This window comes from Homo sapiens, chromosome 2, assembly GCF_000001405.40.
Source record: "Homo sapiens chromosome 2, GRCh38.p14 Primary Assembly".
Lineage (NCBI taxonomy): Eukaryota > Metazoa > Chordata > Mammalia > Primates > Hominidae > Homo > Homo sapiens.
In genome coordinates this window covers 188,526,980-188,551,140 of record NC_000002.12, presented here as the reverse complement: position 1 = coordinate 188,551,140, position 24,161 = coordinate 188,526,980, and the positions used below count along the sequence as shown (strand labels likewise).

Here is a 24,161-nt window from a genome sequence, read left to right as displayed (position 1 = left end):
ACATCTACTCCATAAATTTGTTCAAATAAAAGAAAGTTTGTCTTAAAAAATCACATACAAAAGAACCTCAGACAAATTAACTAAAAAATTAGTTTTCTAGTTTACAGCTGGTCACTCCTGCTTGTTGTCATAATAAGCCAATTCTTCAGAGTTTTTAAACTCAGGGACTTGATATGTAAATTATAGTATTTCATGAAATGGAGACATGAAAATTGGTATTGGCAGGAAATACTCAGCAACAATAAGCTTCCAGATTCTAATTTTAAACTAATTACATTAAGTTGGATGGCTAATCTAAGAAATTAGCTCTCCCTCAATCATGTAATGAAATAAAAAAAACATTAATTTTTTATTTTGATAAATGTGATTCAAAAATTATTAACACAAAGCAAACGTGAAATATGGCTATAATAAGAATATGCAGTAAACACCTTCTCACAGACAGACCTTGTAAAACGACTGGATGCAGTGATTCCTTCTAGTACTAATAATGTATGATTCTTTTGACAATGAACCCTTTTTACGGAGAATTAATTAAGATGTAAAAATGAAGTTTTAAACTTTGCCTTATTTTACAGTTCCTTTCACATCATTAAAAAATGTGTGTGTGATAATTTCATTTGTTTATTGGGGCTACTCTTTAAATTATATTAAAAGCAGCATTCAGCAAATAAGGTATATTTATTAACATTTGGAAATGAAATTGTGAAAAATAAAGAAAATCAAAATAATGGTTAAACAGTTGACAGCAATTATATTTAATTTATAATAAAAATCAACCATATCACAATAAATTCTCTGTTCTAGTTTTGTAGTATGCTAAGGTAAGCCTTCCTCTAAGTTCAAATTCTGTTTCTATCTAGCTTGTCACTCTAGGAAAGAAACTAATTCTTTTTGGCCTGCATTTACTTAAAATAAGACAAAAGGTTTGGTCCAAATAGGCCATACTTTATTTTTCAGATATTTAAAGTAAACTTTATTTTCAGATAATTTAGATTTACACTCAGCTGTGAGAAATAATACAGAGAGATCTTGTGTATCCTTTGTCCAGGTTATTCTAATGATAATATATTGCAAAACTATAGTACCAATTGCAATCAGGATATTCATAATATAGTCAGAATACAGAATAATTTGATTACGACAAGAGTCCTTCATCTTGCTGTTTTATAAGCACATCCTCTTCTAGCCTGCCCTCACCATCTCCTTAACCTCTGGCAATCACTAATTGTTCTCCATTTCCTTAATTTTGCTATTTTAAGAATGTTATAGAAATGGAATCATAGAGTACACAGGCTTTTGAGATAGACTTTTTGCATTCCTTAATCTCTGGAGAGTCATCCACATTGTTGTGTGTCTAATAGTTCATGCCTTTTTATTGCTAAGTAATGTCCCTTCACACATTTTCTGGATGGATTGTAGTTTTCGGCTATTATGAATAAGCTTCTATAAATATTTGTGTATAGGTTTTTGTGTGAACATTTTAAGTTTTGATTTCTCTGGGATAAATGTCCAAGTATTTCATAGGACAGCTGCATGTTCAGTTTCTTATAAAACTGCCAAACTGTTTTTCCTGAATGGCCATACCATTTTATATCTCCATCAGCTATGTGTGAATGATGTACTTTTTCCCCATTCTTACCAGCATTTGGTGATTTTATTGTAGCCTGTCTGATAATTCTGTAGTAATATCTTATTTTGATTTTAATTTGCATTTCCCTAATGGACACCAATGTTTGACATCTTTTCACGTGCTTACTTTCCATCTGTATATCCTCTTCAATGAAATGCATCTTGTTGTCTTTTGTTCATGTTCTAATTTCATTGTTTTCATATTGTTGAGTGTTGAATGATTTTTTACTAGTTATTTGTCTGATATGTGGTTTGCTAATACTTTCTCCCCGTCTTTTCATCCCTAATTTGATAAGGAGCATCTAAACAAAATACAGATATTTTACTTTATGATAAAAAAAGAATGCTTTCCTAAGACATGGAACAAAGCACTTATACATAGAAAAATGTTTTCAAAAGTTCAGTATATCATTTTCCCCCATTTTAAATCCTGCTATGGATGTCAATTCTAAGAACTCTTTTCCTAGCCCTACATCCTGAAGATTTCCCATGTGTTTTTTTTCTAAATGTTTTATAGTTGTATTTTTATATCTAAGTCCATGATGAATTTTCAGTTAATTTTTAGATAGAGTGTGAGGTTTAGGTCAAGGTGCATTTTATTTGCCTATGAAAGTCCAATTGCACCAGCACTGTCTGAAAACAAAATAAAACAAAACAAAACAAAACAAAACAAAACAAAACCTTCTTTCCCCTATTGCACTGCTTTTGCAGCATTGACAAACATTAGCTGGGCATATTTCTGTGTGTTAATTTATATGTTCACTCTTCCATTGACCTATTGTCTTTCCCTCCACCAAAACTAAAGTCTTCATTAGTAAAGGTATCTAATAAGTCTTGAAACAGGGTAGATGAATTACTTTCACTTCACTGCTCTTTTTTTGAAATTGTTTTAGTGATTCCAGTTCCTCTGCTTTTCCATATAAAGTTTAGAATAATCTTGTCTTGTCTATATCTACAAACAACCTTGCTATAATTTTGACAGGAATTGTGTTAAATCTATACATCAGTATGAAGAACTGAAAATAGTATCTCTCCATTTATTTGTAGATTCTATCATTTCTTTTGTCAGCAATTTGTTGCACATGAATTTTCAGCATACAAATTTCACTTCTTAGTTTAGACTTATACCTATGTATTCCACTTCTTTTAGCAATTGTAAATTTCTGTATCCATATGTTCACTACTAGTATACAGCAATACAATTGATCCATGTATGTTAATTATGTATTCTGCCACCTGGCTAAACTCATTTATTAAATCCAGAAATTGTTTTAGACTCAAAATTTTCTACTTAGACAATCATGCCATCTGCATATAAGCACAGTTTTATTTCTTTATTTACAATCTGCAAATTTATTATATGCTTTTTTGTCTTGCTGCAATGGCTAGAGCTTCTATGGCTGTGTTTCATATGAGCCAAGAGAGTGAAAAGTTTTGCTTAGTTCCATGTCTTAGGAGGAAAGCATACTTTTTTTTACCATAAAGTAAAATATCTGTATTTTGCTTAGATGCTCTTTATCAAATTGAGGAAGTTCTTTCCATTCCTATTTTTCTGAGAGTTTTAAACAATGAGTGTGTGTTCATTCTCTTTTAAAGTTATTTTTAAAGCACTGACTGGTATTATCACGTTTCTTCTTTAGATTTTCCATGTGGTTGATTATATCATTGGATTTTTGAATGTTGAGCAAAATGTGCATCCTTGGGACAAACTACTCTTAACCTTTGCATATAATTCTTTTAATGCATGTGATGGTTATTACTGAGCGTCAACTTTATTGGATTGAAGGATGCAAAGTATTGATCCTGTGTGTGTCTGTGAGGGTGTTGCCAAAGGAGATTAACATTTGAGTCAGTGGGCTGGAAAAGGCAGACCCACCTTTAATCTGGATGGGCACCATTTAATCAGCTGCTGGTGCAGCCAGAATATAAAGCAGGCAGAAAAACATGAAAAGGCTAGACTGGCTTAACCTCCCAGCCTACATCTTTCTCCTGTGCTGGATGCTTCCTGCCCTTGAAGATTGGACTTCAAGTTTTTCAGCTTTGGGACTATGACTGGCTTCCTTGCTCCTCAGCTTGCAGATGGGCCTATTGTGGGACCTTGTGATTGTGTGAGTTTAATACTCCTTAATAAACTTCCAATATATATATTAGCTCTATCCATCTAGAGAACCCTGACTAATATAATGCATTACTGGGTTATATTTCCTTAGGAATTTTTACATTTATGTTCCTGAGGAATTCAGATCTCTAGTGTTTTTTTTTTTTTCATTGTCTAAGTCTGGTTTTGGTATCAGAGAAATACTAGTTTCACAAAATGAAGTAGAAAGTGTTTCTGTCCCTCTTATTTTTCACTGGAATGGATTGTATAGAATAGCATTAATTCCTGTTTAAACATTTTATAGAATTCTCCAGTGAAACCATCTACACCTGGAGATTTATCTTTTAATAACTTTTAATTTATAAATTTAATTTCCTTTATAGTTATCAGGCTATTAAAATAATCTATTTAATAATGAGTGATTTGTGGTAATATTGTTCCTAAATAATTGATCCAATTTATTTGTATTTTTGAATTTGTGTGTGTAAAGTTCTTTATAGGATCCTCTTATTCTTTTGATATTCAGAGAGTCTGTAGTGAAATCTGTTGGTTTTCATTCTAAATATTGGTAACTTGTGTCTTCTCCCTCTTTTGTTCTTTGCCAAATTAATACAATTTGTGACTTTTATAATCTTTTAAAGAATCAGGTCTTTGCTTCATTGATTTTCTGTATTTTCCACTTCACCAATTTCTTCTCTTATTAATCTTATCTTCCGTCTGCTTACTTTGAGGTTTATTTTGATATTTTTGTTGTTCTGTGTATTTGAGATGGGAACATAGATTATTCATTTGAGACTTTCCTCTTTCCTAATGTATTAAATTAGTTACAGATTTCTTTCTTAGCACTGCTTTAGTTATATCACACAAATGTTGATACGCTCTACTTCATTTTTATTCAATTCGCAAAATTAAAAATTCATTTGTGAATCGCTATTTAATGTATGGAATATTTATGAATATGATGTTTCATTTCCTAGCTTTTAAAGATTTTCTGGCTTTCTGTTACTGATCTTTAGATTGATTTCCTTATAGTCAGAGAAACGTTAAATAATTTTAATTCTTTTAAATTTTCAAGATTTATTTTATGGTCCAGGATGTGACTTAATTTGGTACATCTTCCTCAAACACTTGAAAATAATGTACATTCTGTTGTTGTTGGGTGAGGTTCTCTGTAACTGCTCATTAGATCCCACTGGTTGATGATGTTGAGTAATTCTATATCCTTGATGATTTTCTAATTATTCTATAAATTTGAGGGAAAGTGCCAGTAAAATTTCGACTATAATTGCGTATTTGTCTATTTACTCTTTTAGTTCTATCTGTTTTTGTTTCTCATTTTGCAGCTCTATTTTTTGGTAATACACAGTTAGGATTACCATATCTTCTTGGGAACTGGTCCCTTTTATCACTATATGCCCCTCCTCTGTCTCTGGTAATTTTCTTTGCCTTGAGGTCTACTTTATCTGATGTAAATATAGTTACTACTGCTTTCTCTGAATAATGGTTGCATGAAAACTCTCTTTTCATTCTTTCATTTTTAGCCTGCCTATATCACCTATACCATTATGTTTGCAATGAACATCTTGTAGATGATATGTATCTGGATTATGTTTTGTAATCCACCTTAACAACATATTTTAACTGGTGTAGTTAGACCATTTACATTTAATGTGATTTTTGATATGTTAGGGCTTAAGTACATTATTTAATCTTTTTCTTTTCTGTTACCTATCTTTTTTCTTTCTCTGTTTTCTTTTCATTGCATCTCTATGGGCTTTTAAAACGATAACATTTTAATTTCTCTATAGTGCTTTTAAGTGTATCTCATTATACAACGTGTTAATGGTTGTTATTGGATTCACATTTTATCTATATAACTTATCATAGTTACCCAGCGCTATTATTTTTCCAGTTCATGTGAGGTGTAGAAACCTCACCTCCCTTTTTACATCCTCTTAACTTTCCTAGTTTAATATAATTGGCTTACATATTTCATGTCCATATATGAAATCACATCAGATTTAAAATCACATCAGAAAGTATTTTTTCTTCTACTATCAAACACAATTTAGAAAACTAAAGATTTACTCATATGTTTGCTCATCTTGTTTTTTTTTTCCTTCCTTATACTCCAAGTTCCCATTTTGTATTGTTTCCTTTCCATTTAGAGAACTTCCTTTAGCCATTCATTTAGGATATCTAGTAGTGGCAAACAATCTTAATTTTCATTCATCTAATAATTTTTTAAAATTTCTTTCCAATTTCTGAAGAATATGTTTCTGGATATAGGATCATTTGACAGGCTTTTGTTTTTTCCATTACTCAAAAAGTATTATGCAACTTCCTTCTTGCCTTCATGGTTTCTGGTGAGAAATACACTGCCATTCACATTCTCTGCTATAGGTAAGTACTTGCTTATCTCATGCTGCTTTCAAGATTTTTCTTTTGTCTTTAGTTTTCAGAAGCTTGAATATGATGTGTCTTGGTATGGAGTTACTTGGATTAATCCTGTTTGGAGATCACTCAGTATTTTAGATCTATAGGTTGATGTCCTTTGTCAAATCGGGAAAGTTTTCAACTAATATTCTTGGAGTGTTTTTTAAGGGTGCTTATTCTCTTTTTCCAGGACTCAGATGACACACAAATGTTAGATATTTTGTTACGGTCCCACAGTCCATGAGGTTCTGTTTTGTTGGTTTATTGAGTCTATAATCTTTGTCTTGTTCAGATTGGGTATTTTCTATTTGTCAGTCTTCCAGGTCATTGATTCTTTTCCTTTGACCTCTCTATTCTGCTGTTGAGTCCATACACTAAGTCTTTCATGTCATTACTTTATTTTTCAGTATTCTTTTAGTATTATTATTATTATTATAATAATACTTTAAGTTTTAGGGTACTTATGCACAACATGCACGTTTGTTACATATGTATACATGTGCCATATTGTTGTGCTGCACCCATTAACTCGTCATTTAGCATTAGGTATATCTCCTAATGCTATATCTTCTGTTTCTTTGCTTAGATTTTCTGTTTGATAAGATTTTCTACATTCTCATCTGTTTCATGTGTGTTTGTAACTGCTCATTTTATTGTGTTATATGATGGCTGTTCTAAAACCTTTGTCCTATAATTATAATATCTCTGACATCTATGTGTTGGTAACTACTGACTGTCATTTCCTTTTTAGTTTAAGAAACCTGTCTCTTGGTATGAAGAGTGATTTTCATTTTATGAAATACTGGAAATTATTTAAATTTTCTGCTTTAGGTGGCTTCATCAGATGCAATTCCAGTAGGAGAGTGAGGGTGGAAATGCACTGCCCCCTTATTGCCTGGTAAGTATAGAAGCTCAGCATTCTAATTTGGCAGGGTTAAATGTTGTCATTCAGCATTCTAATTTGGCAGGGTTGAATGGTCCTCACTGTCACCATGGAAGAAGGAGGACTATTAATACAACATGATACTGTTAATAAAGTAGTGAATTCCAGTCTTGTGCCTTACTAAAAAAGGTTTCATCTTTCAAAATCTCAATTTCAAAGAAGTACTAAAAAGATAAAATACAATGAACAGATAAAGTCCCCAATAAGAGCAGATGAACTCTAGAGGAGGCCACAGTTATGGGAGTAATATAGCATGATGAGATAAATGTAGCAATAAGAATTATGAGTCTTAGATTTTAGTCCTGATTCTACTGACTACTTAGCTTTGTAACTTTGGGAAACTTACTTCAACATCTCTGGTCTTGGTTTTTTAAAATAGGAGGAGAGTTGTATGAGATAGGCCATAACTTATTTCCCATTTTAACACTCTATGCTAAACTATTTAAAATGAGAATTACATAAGATGGCATATCAAAAATTCTGCATACATATAATATCAGTGTTATAAATATAGTCATCATTATAATTAGCACTGATAAAACCTCATAGTTAAGATAGTGCAGGTATAACAAAATTTTGAGGAAACGTCCTTTTTCAGCACAGGAAGGTGATGCCAACTTATAGTTGGGAGGTATCTGGGAACTTCTCAAAGCCAAGACTTCCTCTACCTGCAGCAGAATCACTTGGTATACTTGATAAATATAGATTTCCTGAGCTCCAGCCCCAATTGATAATAGCTTTTAAAAGGCATCCTGTATGATTTTTATGTACATTAATGATTGTGAACCACTGCTTAGGCTTCAAGAAATTATTTTCAATCTTTTTTTATTTATTTTTTTAATTATACTTTAAGTTTTAGGGTACATGCGCACAACAAGAGAAAATAGTTGATACGCTATATCCAAGGAGAACAATCAATTACAGACAGTTATGATCAAAAAGAAATGGGGTCTATGCTTTTAAGGTGGCAAACTTATATTTTAAATATTAATTTAACAAATTTGGATAGGGATCAAAGAATATAAAACAAATGGCACAAATCTATAAGAAGGCCAATATTTAGAATGAACTCTGACTCTGAAACATTTCAAAGGACCTTAAGGAAATTTATTTCTATGGGTAAGGCAGGAAAGAAGAATAACTGAGTTTACTGCTTTATGTAGGTGGTAAAAGGTTATTATAAATTATGTGTAGAAGATATTCAACAAATATCAACTTTAATCTTCTCAGTCATAGAGAAAAGAATCTGCAAGCAATCATGGTTAAAAAACACTTGAAATATGTAAATTTTATTTATTCATTCATCAGAAGTTCATATAAAATAAAATTCAAAATCAATTTGAGCTATATAAAATGTCTTATTGTGCACAAAATATTGTCTTATATTGCTAAGCATCTTTTTTCTGATGAAATGTTCCATAATGTGCACAAAATTCACAAAAGGTATTATGATATCTAGTAGCTTAGCACATTAGCTTTCCTTTCTAGAGAACTACAGTTTAAAAAATAAAAATAAAAACTTGCTCTATTTTTTGTAACTTTTCAATGTGATCTTTTTCTTAAGGAATGTTTCATTGAGCACCTATTGTCCACTTGATGTAGGAGTCACATGAACAAATAAAAAGGTATTTGTTCTCAAGAAGCTCAATACTGAAACTAGATAAACAAATGACATAACAGTGATAATAATATTAGCTATCTGTTATTTTTGACAGCAGCAAAAATTAGCAAACAGATGAATTGTTTTATTTCCTATCTAAACCAATAAAATTGTTGAGGTTACATGTTTTTCCTTTATTGCAGCCACCAGTGGGTTTTCCTTAAGATTCCAGATGATTAAAGAACTGCTACAGGATTTAACATAGAATTTCATACATACAATTCCATTAACTTTCATTATTTTAAGTTGTTTTTTTTTTTTCTCTTGAGATGGAGTCTCACTCTGCCGCCAGGCTGGAATTCAGTGGCGCGATCTTGGCTCACTGCAACCTCTGCCTCCCAGGTTCAAGTGATTTCCTGCCTCAGCCTCCCTAGTAGCTGGGACCACTGGCACACACCACCACACCCAGCTAATTTTTGTATTTTTAGTAGAGACAGAGTTTCACCATTTTGGTCAGGATGGTCTCGATCTCTTCACCTCATGATCTGCCCGCCTCGGCCTCCCGAAGTGCTGGGATTACAGGCGTGAGCCACCGCGCCTGGCCTAAGATTTTTATACAATGAACATAAGGAACTAAATTTTCAGTGTATTGGAAAATCTTTTAAGGAACCATATAGATCATATTTCCTGGAGTTAAGAATATTTATTTTCATAAAATCCATCATATTCTGCACATGTGGGGGAAACACACGTTTGCTCACCACTACTGTTTGTATTATGTGCATAATACTAAATCATATTTGAGTTTAAAATTGTAAAATAGATTAAATTATTATAAAATACATGCATAACATAAGCAGGCATGGCATTCTAATAAAAGAAATTTACATGTAAGTTTATGCTCATGACCATGAGAATTTAGTTACAGATGAAATCCTGAAGCATATTCTCATGACAAAATAAATCTATTAGTACAGCTAAGTATTTACAGACTTTTTACAGAATAATTTACAGAAAATTATTCATTTTCAAATACTTTGCCAATGCCAGAAGCAAGACAATTCCTGGCTTATAAAACAGAACAAACCACCCTACAACATCTGGGATACTTACACACTTTTCGCTGTCAAATACATAGCACAAATGTTTATTTGACTCAGAATCTTTGCATATGAAAGTGAATATCCTCTTGTCAGTTTTATCATCTGCACAAAAAGATATTCTATGAAGCTGGCAATTGTGTTGAACTTCCTGTGAACACAGATGGAAATAAACATAGTTGATGGGATTCTTTTTTCATTTTCTGAAATACTCGTTTGTGTTAATAACATGTGACTTTAAAAGTAGAACAATCATCTGTCAATCTTTGATTTTATAATTATGTACACCCCAACCTAAAACAAAGGCATAATGGATACAGATAGACCTCCTGATTCAGGATGAAACTAAGATATGCATTTCAGTAGTGCTGAGCAAAACATAAGCATAGTACAAAATGATCAAAGATTTATGGCCTATCTGAGCTACAATGGCTCTTGAGAAATCATATACTTTAAACTTTGCATGTTTACAGAGGAGAACAATGAGACCCAGAAAGAATAAGACACCCCCACAGTTTTACAGAATTACCAGAACTCTTTTAAACCAGAGCAATTCTCATTTTATCTCACTGCTGTTTACTAGCATTATAGTTTAGAACACAGCTTTATCTGGATACGATTTCATGTGAAACACACTATCATTTCATCCTTAGTAATCTTATTAAATTTTATTTTATATAATTTCATGGTAACTCATACACTCTTGAACCTGTTCTGTCTAGGAAGCTCATCTTTGGAACTTCTGTAGCATTTTTCATGAAGCAATAAATGAATGGTATACATATCCAGACTCCAAATCACGCAGTCAAATCTATTCATCAGTAGAAGACAAATACTGCAACCAGATCGATATAGTTGCAGCATATATTTACACACGCACACACACACACACACATATTAAATTATAAAACTTATAAAATAGAAGGTATATACATCATTAAAATAAAAATATTTATATAAAATAAATGTGTTTCTATAATTACTATTATTTAGTCAAAAGATGGAGCATTTGACACTTTTTATATTCATATAGATCATCCGTGTTAATTATTCATTCTTCACAGTCTTCTGAAACATGTTGGAGGTAGAAAAGAAATTCAATGTTTTTGATTATGACAAGTAGAAAAATCAACTATTCCTTTTTCTGTTGTAGTCATAAATATATTTTCCTAAGATACACTGTAACACTAGAAATATCAATCAGAAAGTCAGTTCACCAAGATTATTGAGTGGGTGTTTTATAAGATTGGAGATGGAAGCAACTACAGTTTCATCTAAGGAAGGCTGGCTGAATATCCCCCAAAAAAGCTTTATTTTAGGTTATAACTAGAAGAGTTTCTCTAAAGGTGGCTTCAGACAACGTGTAGCACAAATACCTGGGGTGCTTGCTATAAAAATTTACACTGTTTTTACCTCAGTTGAATCAAAATCTCAGAGATTTTGTTCAAGATAAGAATCATTGATATGAAAACATTTAAACTTCTCAGTTCAGAGTTTGATGTGTCAGCTTGCTGAGATTTGCTCTATTACTCTGATTCAAATAACTGCTCGTCAGACTGAAAATGAATATATAAAATGAGATATACAAATAAATGCTAAGAGAACTGTCCATAGCAAAGCATTCTTTCCCTGCATACAATGGTAAACCAAACGGTAAGCCATCGAAGAGTTGCTTGGTAAGTATGAAAATTAAAATAAGGAAGTATATTGTAGGATTGTAATGCTTACTGGCATTATTAGATAGCCTAATTCATCTGTTTAAAAGCAGGGGGAACCAAGTCTAAGAAGAGGTGCTTGACTTACTTAGCTTTTGATGGCAGCATCTTTCCTTTCTTATACAGAAAGCATCGATGGACAATGATCATATTTGTTTGAGACTATCTTCTTTCTGTATTTTGCCTATTAGAACAGTTTCCTTTCTTATTGATTTTTTTTTGTTTTAATGACAATATAGTCAATTAAATAACAGCTCTCTGTTACACGATAGCTCCCAAATACTGACAGGAGGTCTATAACAGCTTATTAATTGTAAAAGCATGTTAATGATAAATAAAGAGAAAATATTACTGCTAAACACTATAGGAAAAAAATTCATTTCTCCATAGATGGGAGAAATTATGAGTAACATGCAAAACACAACATTCACTTAGCTGGTGCTGAAATCTACATAGTCTCTCATTTACTCTCATTTCTAGCACTCTATAATCTTCATTTGGAGGACACGTGAGAAAAGCAGAAAGGGAAAGGACACAGAAAGACAGAGGAGCCAATTGTTATTGAGATTGCTTTCACTTAATTTTCACTTTCCATTTTCATTCATCCAAGTGAAAAAAAAATAAAGATTCTATTCTGTATAAAGACAGTCCATGTTAGATTAATAATATATTTAAAAATCCTGTCTCATATATGTATGTTTAACTATAAATAAATTTATTTTAGAAGTATCACATTTGTTTTTTTCTAAATATCAACATACATCTAGAATGAAATGATTGATTTTTTTGTGTGTCACTTATGTATATGTCCTTGAATAGTAGTTTCTAAATGCATGTCTGTAAATGTCTATGAATAGGTTGTATCCAAGAACTGAGAACTGTCTCTCTCTCTCACTACACACACACACACACACACACACACTCACACACACACTCACACACACATACCGCAATCAGCATTCTTAGGAATGTTTTGGGGACACTGGTGCTCAGCAGAGCTTTTTAATCCCTTTTTTAGATTTCCTACATTTTTAATGCATTCAAGAAATGGTACTTTATATATATGGGTAAATAGTCATATACTCTATATTCGTATGTAACATAGGGTAAATAGTTGTTCTATATTAATATGCAATATAATTGAATGTATAAAATATCTCAAGGATTTTTAAACTCCAAGATTGCTCCCCAGGTTTGGTAGGGATTAAAATAGAGATGCTTCTTTTTCATTAAGAGTTTTAAAAACTCACTTCTGGGAATAGAATTCAAGTAGGGCTCTTAAAAATTAGCTATTAGTGCTAAATGCATACCTCAGAAATTTAGAAAGATCACTAGTTAGCAATCTAATATCACACCTAGAGGAACTAGAAGAACAAATATCAACTAACCCCAAAGCTAGCAGAAGATATAACTAAAATCTGAGTGGAATTGAATGAAATTGAGAGAAAAAAATCCATAAAAACAATGAACAAACCCAAAAGTTAGTTCTTTGGAAGGATCAACAAGATCACTAGACCACTAGCTACATAAACAAAGACTAAAGGAGAGAAGAGCCAAAAAGTACAATGAGAAACAACAAAGGTGGTATTACAACTGATCCCACGGAAATACAAAAGATCCTCAGAGACTATTACGAACACCTTGAAGCTCACAAACTAGAAAATCTAGAGGAAATTGATAAATTTATAGAAACGCAGAACCTCCCAACATTGAATCAGCAAGAAACTGAAATCCTGAACAGAACAATATCAAGTTCTGAAATTGAATCAGTAATAAAAAATCTACCAACCAAACAAAGCCCCAGAGCAGATGGATTCACAGCCAAGTTCTACTATACCTACAAAGAAGAGTTGGTACCAATTCCACTGTAACCATTCCCAAAAAACTGAGGAGAAGGAACCTCTCTCTAACTCATTCGACAAAACCAGCATAATTCAGATACCAAAACATTGCAAAGATACAGTGAAAAAAGAAAACTATAGGCCAATATTCCAGATGTACATAGATGCAAAAATTCTCAACAGAATACTTGCAAACTGAATTCCACAGTACATTAAAAAATTAATTCAAAACAACCAAGAAGGCTTCATTCCTGGGATGCAAGGTTTGTTCAACGTATGCGAATCAATAAATACAATTCAACATAAAAACAGAATTAAGAACAAAAACCATATGATCATATCAACAGAAGTCGAAAAAGCCTTCGAAAAAATCCAGCATTCCTTCATGATAAAATCCCTGTACAAACTAGGCATTGAAGGAACATACTTCAGAATAGTACAGCCATCTATGACCAACCCAGAGCCAACATAATACTGAACCGGCAAAAGCTGGAACATTCCCCTTGAGAACTGGAACAAGACAAGGATGCCCACTCTCATCACTCCTATTCCACAGAGTACTCAAAGTCCTTGCCAGAGGAATCAGACAGTAGAAAAAAAGAGAAGGCTTCAAAATAAAAAAATAATAAGTCAAACTATCCCTCTTAACTGACAATATGATTATCTACCTAGAAGATCCTAAAGATTCCACCAAGAGGCTCCTGCAACTGATAGTAAACAACTTCAGTAAAGTTTCGAGATATAAAATCAATGTACAGAAATCAGTAGCATTTCTGTATACCAATAACATTAAAGCTGAGAGACAAATCAATAATGCAATCCTATTTCCAATAGTCAACAAAAAAAATAAAATACCTAGTAATACATCTAACCAAGGAGGTGAAAGATTTCTGCAAGAAGAACTACAAAACACTGTGGAAAAAAATCAAAGATGACAGAAACAAATGGAAAAATATTCCGTGCTCATGAATTGGAAGAATTAATACTGTTAAAATGACCATATTGCCCAAACAATACAGATTCAATGTTACTCCTATCAAATGGCCAATGCCATTTTTCAGGGAATTAGAATTTTTAAAATTCTAAACTGCATATGAAACCAAAAAAGGGCCTGAATAGCCAGAGCAATTTTAACCAAAAGAATAAATCTGGAGGCATCACATTACCCGATGACTGTACTATAAGGCTATAGTAACCAAAAAAGCATGGTACTGGTACAAAAACAGGTACATAGACCAATGGCAAAGAATAGAGAATTCAGAAATAAAGCCACAAGTCTACAGCCATCTGATCTTTGACAAAGTCAACAAAAATAAACAATGGGGAAAGGACTCCCTATTCAATAAATGTTGCTGGGATACCTAGCTAGCCAGATGCAGAAGAATGAAACTGGACCCCTACCTTTTACCATATACAGAAATTAACTCAAGATGGATTAAATAATGTAGTACCTCAAACTATAAAAATCCTAGAAGAAAATAATGTAAATGCCCTTCTTGACATCAGCTTTGGTAAAGAATTTTTGTCTAAGTTCCAAAAAGCAATTGCAACAAAAACAAAAGTAGACAAGTGGAACCTAATTAAAGAGCATCTGCACAGCAAAAGAAACTATCAAACAGAGTAAACAGACACCTTACAGAATGGGAGAAAATATTTGCAAACTATGCATCCAACAAACGTCTAATACCCAGGTTCTATAAGAAACTTAAACAATTAAACCAACAAAAAACAAATAACCATATTAAAAAGTGGGCAAAAGACATGAACAGACACTTCTCTAAAGAAGACAAACAAGCTGCAAATAAACATGAAAAAAATGCTCCACATCACTTATCATCAAAGAAATTCAAATAAAAACCACAAAGAGATATGATCTCACACCAATCAGAATCACTCTTATTAAAAAGTCAAAAACAACAGATGCTGGTGAGGATATGAAAAAAAGGGAATGCTTATACACTATTGGTGGGAATGTAATTTAGTTCAGCCACTATGGAGAGAAGTTTGGAGATTTCCCAAGGAACTTAAAACAGTTGCTGTTTTCCAGCAACCCTGTTACTGGGTATACATACTTGACATATATCCATAAAAAGACAAATCTTTCTACCAAAAAGACACATGCACTCATATGTTCATTGCAGCACTATTCATAATGGCAATGACATGTAATTAACCGAGGTGCCCATTAACGGTAGATTGGATAAAGAAAATGTGGTACATATGTACCACAGAATACCATGCAGCCACAAAAAGAACAAAATCATGTCCTTTCCAGAAAATGGATACTGCTGGAGGCCATTATCCTAAACGAATTAATGCAGAAACAGAAAAACAAATACTGCATATTCTCACTTATAAGTGAAAAACATTGGGTACTCGTGGACATAATGATGGCAATAATAGACACTGGGTAACTTTTAAAGTGGATGGGAAAAGGGGGTGTTAAGGATTGAAAAACTAACTATTGGGTACTGTGCTCACTATCTGGGTGATGGAATCATTCATATGCCAAACCTCAGCATGATGCAATATACCCAGGTAACAAATCTGCACATGTAACTCTTGAATCTAAAATGAAAGTTGAAATTATTAAAAACAGAACGAGTAGAAATAAATAACAGAAAAAATAGAAATTAATTTTTAATATTAACTAGTAATTTACTATTAATTTAAACATTAAATAATTACTTTAATATTAAATAATTAAATATTACCAATTTAATATTAAACACTAATTGAATATTAATTATTAATAACAATTTATTATTAAATATTAAAGTCTTAATAATAGGAAATCGAGACTTGTGGACAGGAAAGAAAAGCACTGGCATTATTGATTTTGGTAAGGCAATATAGGATAATGAAGTCAACTGGCTAATCATGTTGAGTTGAACCCCACTTCACTGATATTTTGTAAAGGAGGTTTAGGTTGGGAGAAGCATGCAGATTTGATATTAAAAGCTTAAGAAACAGAATTATATAATAGGTTGTCATGTGATAAACTTATTGATAGAAACCTGAAAATATGATTTTCCGCAATAAAAATAGTAGGTGGGAATCATCTACTTTCTTACTACCTTTCCCTGTTTGTTTTGTTTTGTTTTGTTTTATCACCAAACAGACTTTTTTAAACTTTTATTTTAGATTCAGGGGGTGCATGTTCAGGTTTGTTACCAGGGTATACTGCATGATGCTGAGGTTTTGGGTAAAAATAGTCCCATCACTGAGGTACTAAGCATAGTATGCAAGAGTTTGTTTTTAAACCCTTATCCCCTCCTTCCTTCTCCCTCTGGTAGCCCCCAGAAACTACTGTTGCATCATTATGTCCATGAGTACCCAGTATAAGTACCCACTTATAAGTAAGAATATATGGTATATGGTTTTCTGTTTCTGCATTAAATCATTTAGGATAATGACCTCCAGATGCATCCATGTTGCTGCAAAAGGACACAATTTCATTCTTTACTATGGTTGCATAGTGTTCCAATGATGTATGTGTACCACATTTTCTTTATCCAATCCACCATTGAGAGGCATCTAGGTTGATTCCATGTTTTTGCTATTGTGAAAAGTGCTGCGATGAAAATGAGAGTGTATGTCTTTCTGGTATAAAGATTTATTTTTCTTTTGGATATATACCAAGTATATACAACCAGCATTAGGGTTGCTGGAAAATGGTAACTGTTTGAAGTTATTTGAGAAATCTCCAACTGCTCTCCACAGCAGCTGAACGAATTTACATTCCCACCAACAGTGTATAAGCATTCTCTTTTCTTCACAATCTCACCAGCATCTGTTATTTTTGAACTTTTTAATAACAGTTATTCTGCATGGTGGTGATTGTATCTCATTGTGGTTTTGATTTTAATTTCTTTGATTAGTGATGCGGAGCATTTTTTTCATGTTTGATAGCCACTTGTTTGTTTTCTTTTGAGAAGGGCCTGTTCCTGTTTCTTTTTCCCACTTTTTAATCGGGTTATTATTATTTTTTGCTTGTTCAATTGTTTAAGTTCCTTATAGATTCCGGATATTAGATGTTTGTTAAATGCATAGTTTGCAAATACTTTATCCCATTCTGTAGGTGTCTGTTTACCCTGTTCATAGTTTCTTTTGCTGTGCAGAGGCTCTTTAATTTAATTAGGTCCCACTTGTCAACTTTTGTTTTTGTTGCAATTGCTTTTGAGGACTTAGTCATCAATTCTTTCCCAAGGGCAATGTCCGGAATGGTGTTTCCTAGGTTTTCTTCCAGGATTCTTATACTTTAAGGTCTTACATTTAAATATTTGATCCATCTTGAGTAAATTCTTGTATATGGTGAAAGGTAAGGGTCCAGTTTCAATCTCTTCCATATGGCTAGCCAGGTATCCCAGCACCAATTATTGAATAATCATTTCCCCATCTGTTATTTTTGTTGACTTTGTCAAAAAATCAGATGGCTGTAGGTGTGCAGCTTTAATTTTGGGTTCTCTATTCTCTACTGTTGCTGTACCACAGACTTTTTCTAAGCCCAGCTTAATTTTTGACCCTATTCACTTTGGTTTTTCCTCACTCTACAGTATCATACGCTATTTTTTAAAAAAAGTTTGGTATTTCTGTCTTTGTATTTACAAATATTTAAAGTTAATGAAAAAAAATTATCCTTATTCCAGGTAAATAACCAACAATCAGGAGAGCAGGTATAAGGAATAACCTAATAAATCATAAGTTATTGGTCAATTGGGTTTCATAAAGGTAGGTTTCTTCTTCAAGTGGTCAGGAAGCCAAGGAAGAAAAACCAAACAGATATGATAGCCTAACTTGTTGATTAAGTCTTTAAAAGAGCTTTTCACATATCTTTCTTTCTTTTCTTTTTTATGTGAGACAGTCTCACACTGTCACCTGTGCTGGAGTGCAGTGGCGCGATCTTGGCTCACTGCAACCTCCACCTACCGGGTTCAAGCGATTCTCCTGCCTCAGCCTCCTGAGTGGCTGGGATTACAGGCACCCACCACCACACCCAGCTACTTTTTTTTTTTTTTTTTTAGTAGAGACAGGGTTTCATCATGTTGGCCAGGCTGGTCTCAAACTGCTGACCTCATGATTCCCCCATCTCGGCCTCCCAAAGTGCTGGGATTACAGGCATGAGCCACTGCACCCAGCCAGTTCACATATCTTTCATTGGAACAAATAGTCTCATTTAAAAGGTCAGATGAAATCATGCAGAAAATAATAGAAAAGGTTGCAATGCATACCCATATACTCTTCACCTAGCCAACTGGTAACATCATGCCACATTTGCATTACATGATCCATTTTCGTCTCTCTTTACACACACACATACCCTATAAACGTAGGTGGTAGCCATCTTGTAGCGGTAGTTAGTGGTAGCCATCTTGTAGCGCTTTAAGCAATTAGCATTTTATGCATTTCTAAGGACATGCCATTATTAACCTGTGAATTCTAAAACCCAAAAAAGTTTTCTCTACATACTGCATTTAATTGTGTTTGTATTTTGTAAATATTTAAACGTGATTATCAACTAACAAAAAATTTGAAACATTCCATATGTTCAATAATAGAAGAATAATTTGGTAAATTATGGTATATGAACGTAGTGAAATTATTAGAGTTTAGAATATACCATAGGTCGTTTCAAATAAAAAATAACAAGAACATACGAAAATGATACATAAAGTATATTATCAGCTTTATATATTTTAATGTGTGCTGGGACAAGCCCCAAACCTTCAGATAAGAAATTGAAAATAATATTAATTACACATACACACACAAACATGTACACACACTCCAAAACAGCTACCTAATTCATATGGTGTAGAAAAAAACTTTCAACATAAGCATGGCCTACAAATACCCTATTCCGGCTGGACATTTACCACTCTATATCCTTTTAATTTTGAAAAGAAGATGTAGGAATAGGATTATTCTTATTTTCATGACACATAAGACTACACTTTGTTGCTACACTTTTGATTGCATTGTCCTTCTGTAATTTATTGCTTCCTTGGTCTATTGTTCTTTATGTAACTGCTAATTGCCTAATGAATTTATCTCATTCATACCTTGCTTTCAATTGCCTTGTTTCCCAGCAAACTACATATATCCCATTATATGCTTGAATCAACCCTCTACTATCTTTTCACCATTTCATTTTTCTGTTTTCAGCCACCTTAGCAGTAGTTATTTTAGAATCGCCGTAACTAAAGTAAATCTTCACATCTTTGTTTGTAATTGAATATTGAGGGTGAATAATAGAGAAGATTAGACAGGATAATTGTTGAGAGGACTTAAATTCACGTCTTGAAAAGTTTAAAGGAATGCCATTGCTCTTTAATATGGGAAGTTGAAGGTATGCCATTGATCTTTACTACAGATTTCCACAGTTAGAGGTTCTGATTCTGGGGGCAAATTTGGGGCCTTAGAAATTACTTTTGCAAATGCCTCAGTTAATTTTTATGTCGCTATTCCATAAGCTACAATTTGAAAATGAGGCCTACCGCATTAAGCCACTAAACCATGCACAACAGCAGATCCCCTCAAACTTTAATGTGCATGCGAAACACTAGGTTTCTTCTTTAATTGCAAATACAGATTCTGTAGGTCTGTAGTGGGGCATTAAATTCAACATTTCTAACAAGCATCCAATAGATGCAGTTGCTGGTGGTCTGCAGGCCACACTTTAAATAGCAAGTTGTTGCTGGGAACTGGAATTTACATAGATGAAGGTATCAAAGACACTTGCTGGACTAGAGAAAAGTTGCAGACCTGTGGGAAACATTTTTCATAATCTGTTAACAGGCCAGAAGTTCCTCTTTTGGCTTTTATACTGAATTAATTTGTCAATATGTATCCTATGGTGTTAGAAGAACACTTTGACGATACGTATTTATAAAATAATTGGAGTTAAATATTAATTTTTCCAAATTGACTAATATGGTCTTATCAAAATTACTAAATGATAACTCTGAGGCATTGTGAATAAAGTACTGTGTTTGTTTACTAAGCCTGCCATAACAAAATACCACTGACTGGGTGGCTTATCCAACAGGAATTTATTTTCTCACAGTTCTGCAGGTTAGAAGTCTAAGATCAAGGTGTCGGTAGGTTTGGTTTCTCTGGGGCCTCTCTCTTTGGCTTGCAGATTGCTGCCTTCACGTGGTCCTTACTCTGAGTGTACGTATCCCTGGTGTCTCTTCCTCTTTTTGTAAGAATACTAGACATATTGGATGAGGCCCCACCCTTAAAATCTCATTTAACCTAAGTTACCTCTTTGAAGGCCTTATCTTCAAATATAGTCATATTAGGGGTTAGGGCATGAACACAGGAATTTTGGAAGGAAACACTTTAGTCCAAAACAAGTATATGTTAATGAATTTGAATCCAGAACAGATTTTATTTTTAAATATTTTATTTGCTTTGAAGGGTCCTAAATACAAGAAACTTAAGTTTACACTGTATTATGGGCTGAATTGTGTTCCCCAAAATTCACATGTTGAAGCTCTAATCCCCAGCACCTCAGAATGAGACTGTGGTTGGAGTGCTAAATTAAATAAGCATGAGGCCATTCACCTAGGGTTGTCTGTGTATTTTGAGTTCCTATACAACAAACTGCAACCTAACTAGTATGTAAATAAACTGAACACTAATTTGGAAGTATAACACATAGCTAAGTTTCAGCCAATTACAGGCAGCCAGCTCATCACTACATATCCATATAAGGTATATGCCTTGCTATAGCCAATCAGGTGAGTTGTCACCTTTGAGTCTGTGTTCAGCCTATAAAAAGCTCCATGTTCACGCTGCTGGGCAAACCTTTCTGAACATCTGGTTTCAAGTGCTGCCTGATTCATGAATCATTATCTGTTCAAATAAACTCTGCTAAATTTAATTTGTCTAGTTTTTCTTCAAACAGGAGATAAGGCCTTTAAAAAGGTAACTAAGTTAAAATAAGGCCATGAGTATGGTTCCTAATCCAATTTGATGAGTGTCCTTATAAGAAGAGACACCAGACAAGTGTGAAAAGGCAGCAAGAGGGCAGCCCTCTGTAAGCCAAGGAGAAAGGCTACAGAGGAAACTAACCCTGCTGGCATCTTGATCTTGGAACTCCAGCCTCCACAACTGTGAGAAAATATTTTCTGCTGTTTAAGCCACCCAGTTTGTGGTGTTTTGTTTCAGCCTCCGTAAAAAACTAATACACACTGATTACATCTACAGGAAATAAAAGTCAATGCAGAATATTTTAATAACACACAGCTTTTATCTTCTTTCATACTCAGTGAACCACACTGTATGCATCTCTTTCACATCTCATGAAAAAAACATTCCCAAATACACGTCCAAACACTGTTGAATGCACTTAACATAAGTTATTAATATTATATCCCAAACAAGCTGAAGAAAAGATCACTTATAATGCAATTCCAAAAGTTGTTTTCACTTCTAAAACTCCTAGAGTTTCGAACTGTCATTAACTCAGAACTAAACAGTTCAGGGTGGCAAAAAATTTTAAATATTTGTTAAAGTAGGAATATAATTGCAATTAATTAAAGATTGCCTCTAACATTAAAAAAAAAGCCTTACCTTTGTTTTGGGTTCTAGAATTTTTACTCCATAAATTGATATTTGCAACTCCACTTTAGGAATTTTCTGGCCTTCAGATTTCTTGATATGTCTTGCAAACTACGAATGAAAAATTATTCACAAAGCTACACTTCTATTTCTATAAAGAATGAACAAAAATAAATATACATTTGGAGTTCATATTCAATTTCAGACTTTAATTAAGTGAATTTTTGCCAAGTATAAAGCATTTTATAAAGATAGTCTCAATATATTTAAAAATCATAGCAATCAGCCATTATAATTCACATTGATTTTCAGCAAGTTTTTTAAATTAAGATTTTTAATGCACTTCTTTCATGGTATTTACAAAAACGTATTCATACCAGACAGTTGAGAAAACTCAAAATACTTTGTGGGAAGATATGTAGAGATCAGTTTGTTTTTCTGTGAATCTTTTGTTGTTATTATCTTCAGAGAATTTGCAGTTCATCAGCTGTTGAATATGCCCTCTTTGCCATTTTTAGATACTTACCTAGTTTGGAACACTATTCTATCCAACCACATCAATAAATAAAAAGAAGCAGATTACCATTTCCAAACTGAAGCTAAGAATTGAAGTAATTATCCCAGCTGAAAGACTCAGGTATAGAACTAGACTCAGTCTAGAACTACAAATATAGTGAGTATCTTGAAAGCACAGTTTTTTTTTTCAATACTTTCATAGTAGTATTTATTATACTTTCTCATTGAGTTAGTAGGTGTATGTAAATGCTTGTTCGATTCTGTTATAAAATCAAAAAGAAAACCAGAATACTCATGTGCTTAGCAGATGGAGTCTCTGCCTCTCTCCTAGCATTGCTTAATTTAGTGGGGGAAAATTTCAGGAGCCCAGCTAAACTTGAGTATTAAACAATTAATATTCTTTTTAAAACTTTAATTTTAAAATATAGGCACAAACACAACATATATATAGTATTTAGTATACACGTTAGCCCATGCAATATTTGGAACATATTTGTACTAAAAAATATTTGTCAAAGTTTACTGGGCATCTTGATTTTAATTGGCAATTTTACTCTCTCCCTACATTCCTTCTCTCCTCTGCAATCACCCCAGCATCCAACTTTTTCTTTTTAAGAAATGGAAAGAAAACTATTAGAAGAAAGAATTTCTTGCCCCTCTTCTAGGGCTTCAAAAAGTTATTTTCTAGAGTAACTTTTTCTCTCTAGGGATATAGATCATCCCAACCTGACTCAAAATTGATGACATGTAATGCAAGACAGCGTTCTAGTCCTCTTGTATGTCACAGTTACTTGCACTGTGTATTTCACTGTAATTTAGGGCAGATGTGAATACACATGGTATAGCTCCGTCCTGGAGCACAGAGTGATTAAAAGTCTTTCTCTCTTTTCATGGCTTTGCACTGCCACACATAATAATATAATTAATGCATATATGAATGCCTTTAAGTGTCTGCCTTCCTATCCCAGGGGGTACCATTTGTTTTATTCCATTTTGGGTGGTATAATTTTTCAGCTTGCTGTCTGTCTTGCTCTACGAACTTAGGTTGCTATTTTTTGTATCCAGCAGTCTTACTGCTGCACGATACAACTAATTCGTGCCAGATAATTTTCTTTTTTGCCTTTAATAAATTTATTTTGCTTGAGTGTAGATCTTTAAAAATTATCCCAGCTCTCTCCCAAATAATATGAATTAATTTTGTTTATTTTCCCTTCATAATCTCCTTATATCAGCATAATTAAGCAATTTGAAGGTTTTCATATAGGAAGGCTTACAAAATAAGTCAGCTGCTCTCCCCCTATGTGAATGCGTCTGGATAAAGCAACTCTCATTATCAGCTGCAGAAGCATTCTCAGCTGGTTTCCTAGGTGCTGCTGTTTTCCAGGAACAGACTGAGCATGACTTCTGAAGCCCCTTCCACATCCAGACTCAAGCATTCCTGTGACCTCTGACAAGAACTGTGCAACCTTTTAAATTTTTTCCCCCTGAAACATCTACAACAAAACAACCACTATTATTAAACTTATCTATTGAGAAGGGAAGAAAGAATGGAAGAATTAAAGAAAGGAAGGAAGTAGGGGCTGAGGTAGAAAAACAAAGTGGAGAGGTAAGAAGGGAGTGGGGAGGAAGAAAGGAAGAGAGGGAAGAAGGACAGAATGAGATAAAGAAAAATAAAAATAAGCACAACATCTCTAATCTAGGTTTTCTGAAAC

At 33.3% G+C, this 24,161-nt stretch overlaps 1 protein-coding gene across 69 annotated transcripts in view; it reads right to left on the bottom strand.

Moving 5' to 3' along the window:
* Window positions 1–24,161, bottom strand: part of GULP1 (GULP PTB domain containing engulfment adaptor 1) — a 304,053-nt gene that overhangs the window by 44,786 nt on the left and 235,106 nt on the right. For 47 of the 69 annotated variants that reach the window (NR_164744.1, NM_001375929.1, NM_001375936.1 and 44 more), the window contains 2 exons: window positions 21,946–22,044; window positions 9,823–9,960 (listed from right to left, as the gene is read on the bottom strand). The exons of 1 other annotated variant lie outside the window; for it this stretch is intronic. Coding sequence is in view for 66 of the 68 variants with exons in the window: in NM_001375929.1 (NP_001362858.1) it covers window positions 9,823–9,960; window positions 21,946–22,044 (237 nt within the window). In the remaining 2 variants the exon portion in view is untranslated. The remainder of the gene's footprint in view (window positions 1–9,822; window positions 9,961–21,945; window positions 22,045–24,161) is intronic. 21 more of the 69 variants (NM_001375945.1, NM_001375953.1, XM_047444715.1 and 18 more) reach the window with 2 other exon arrangements.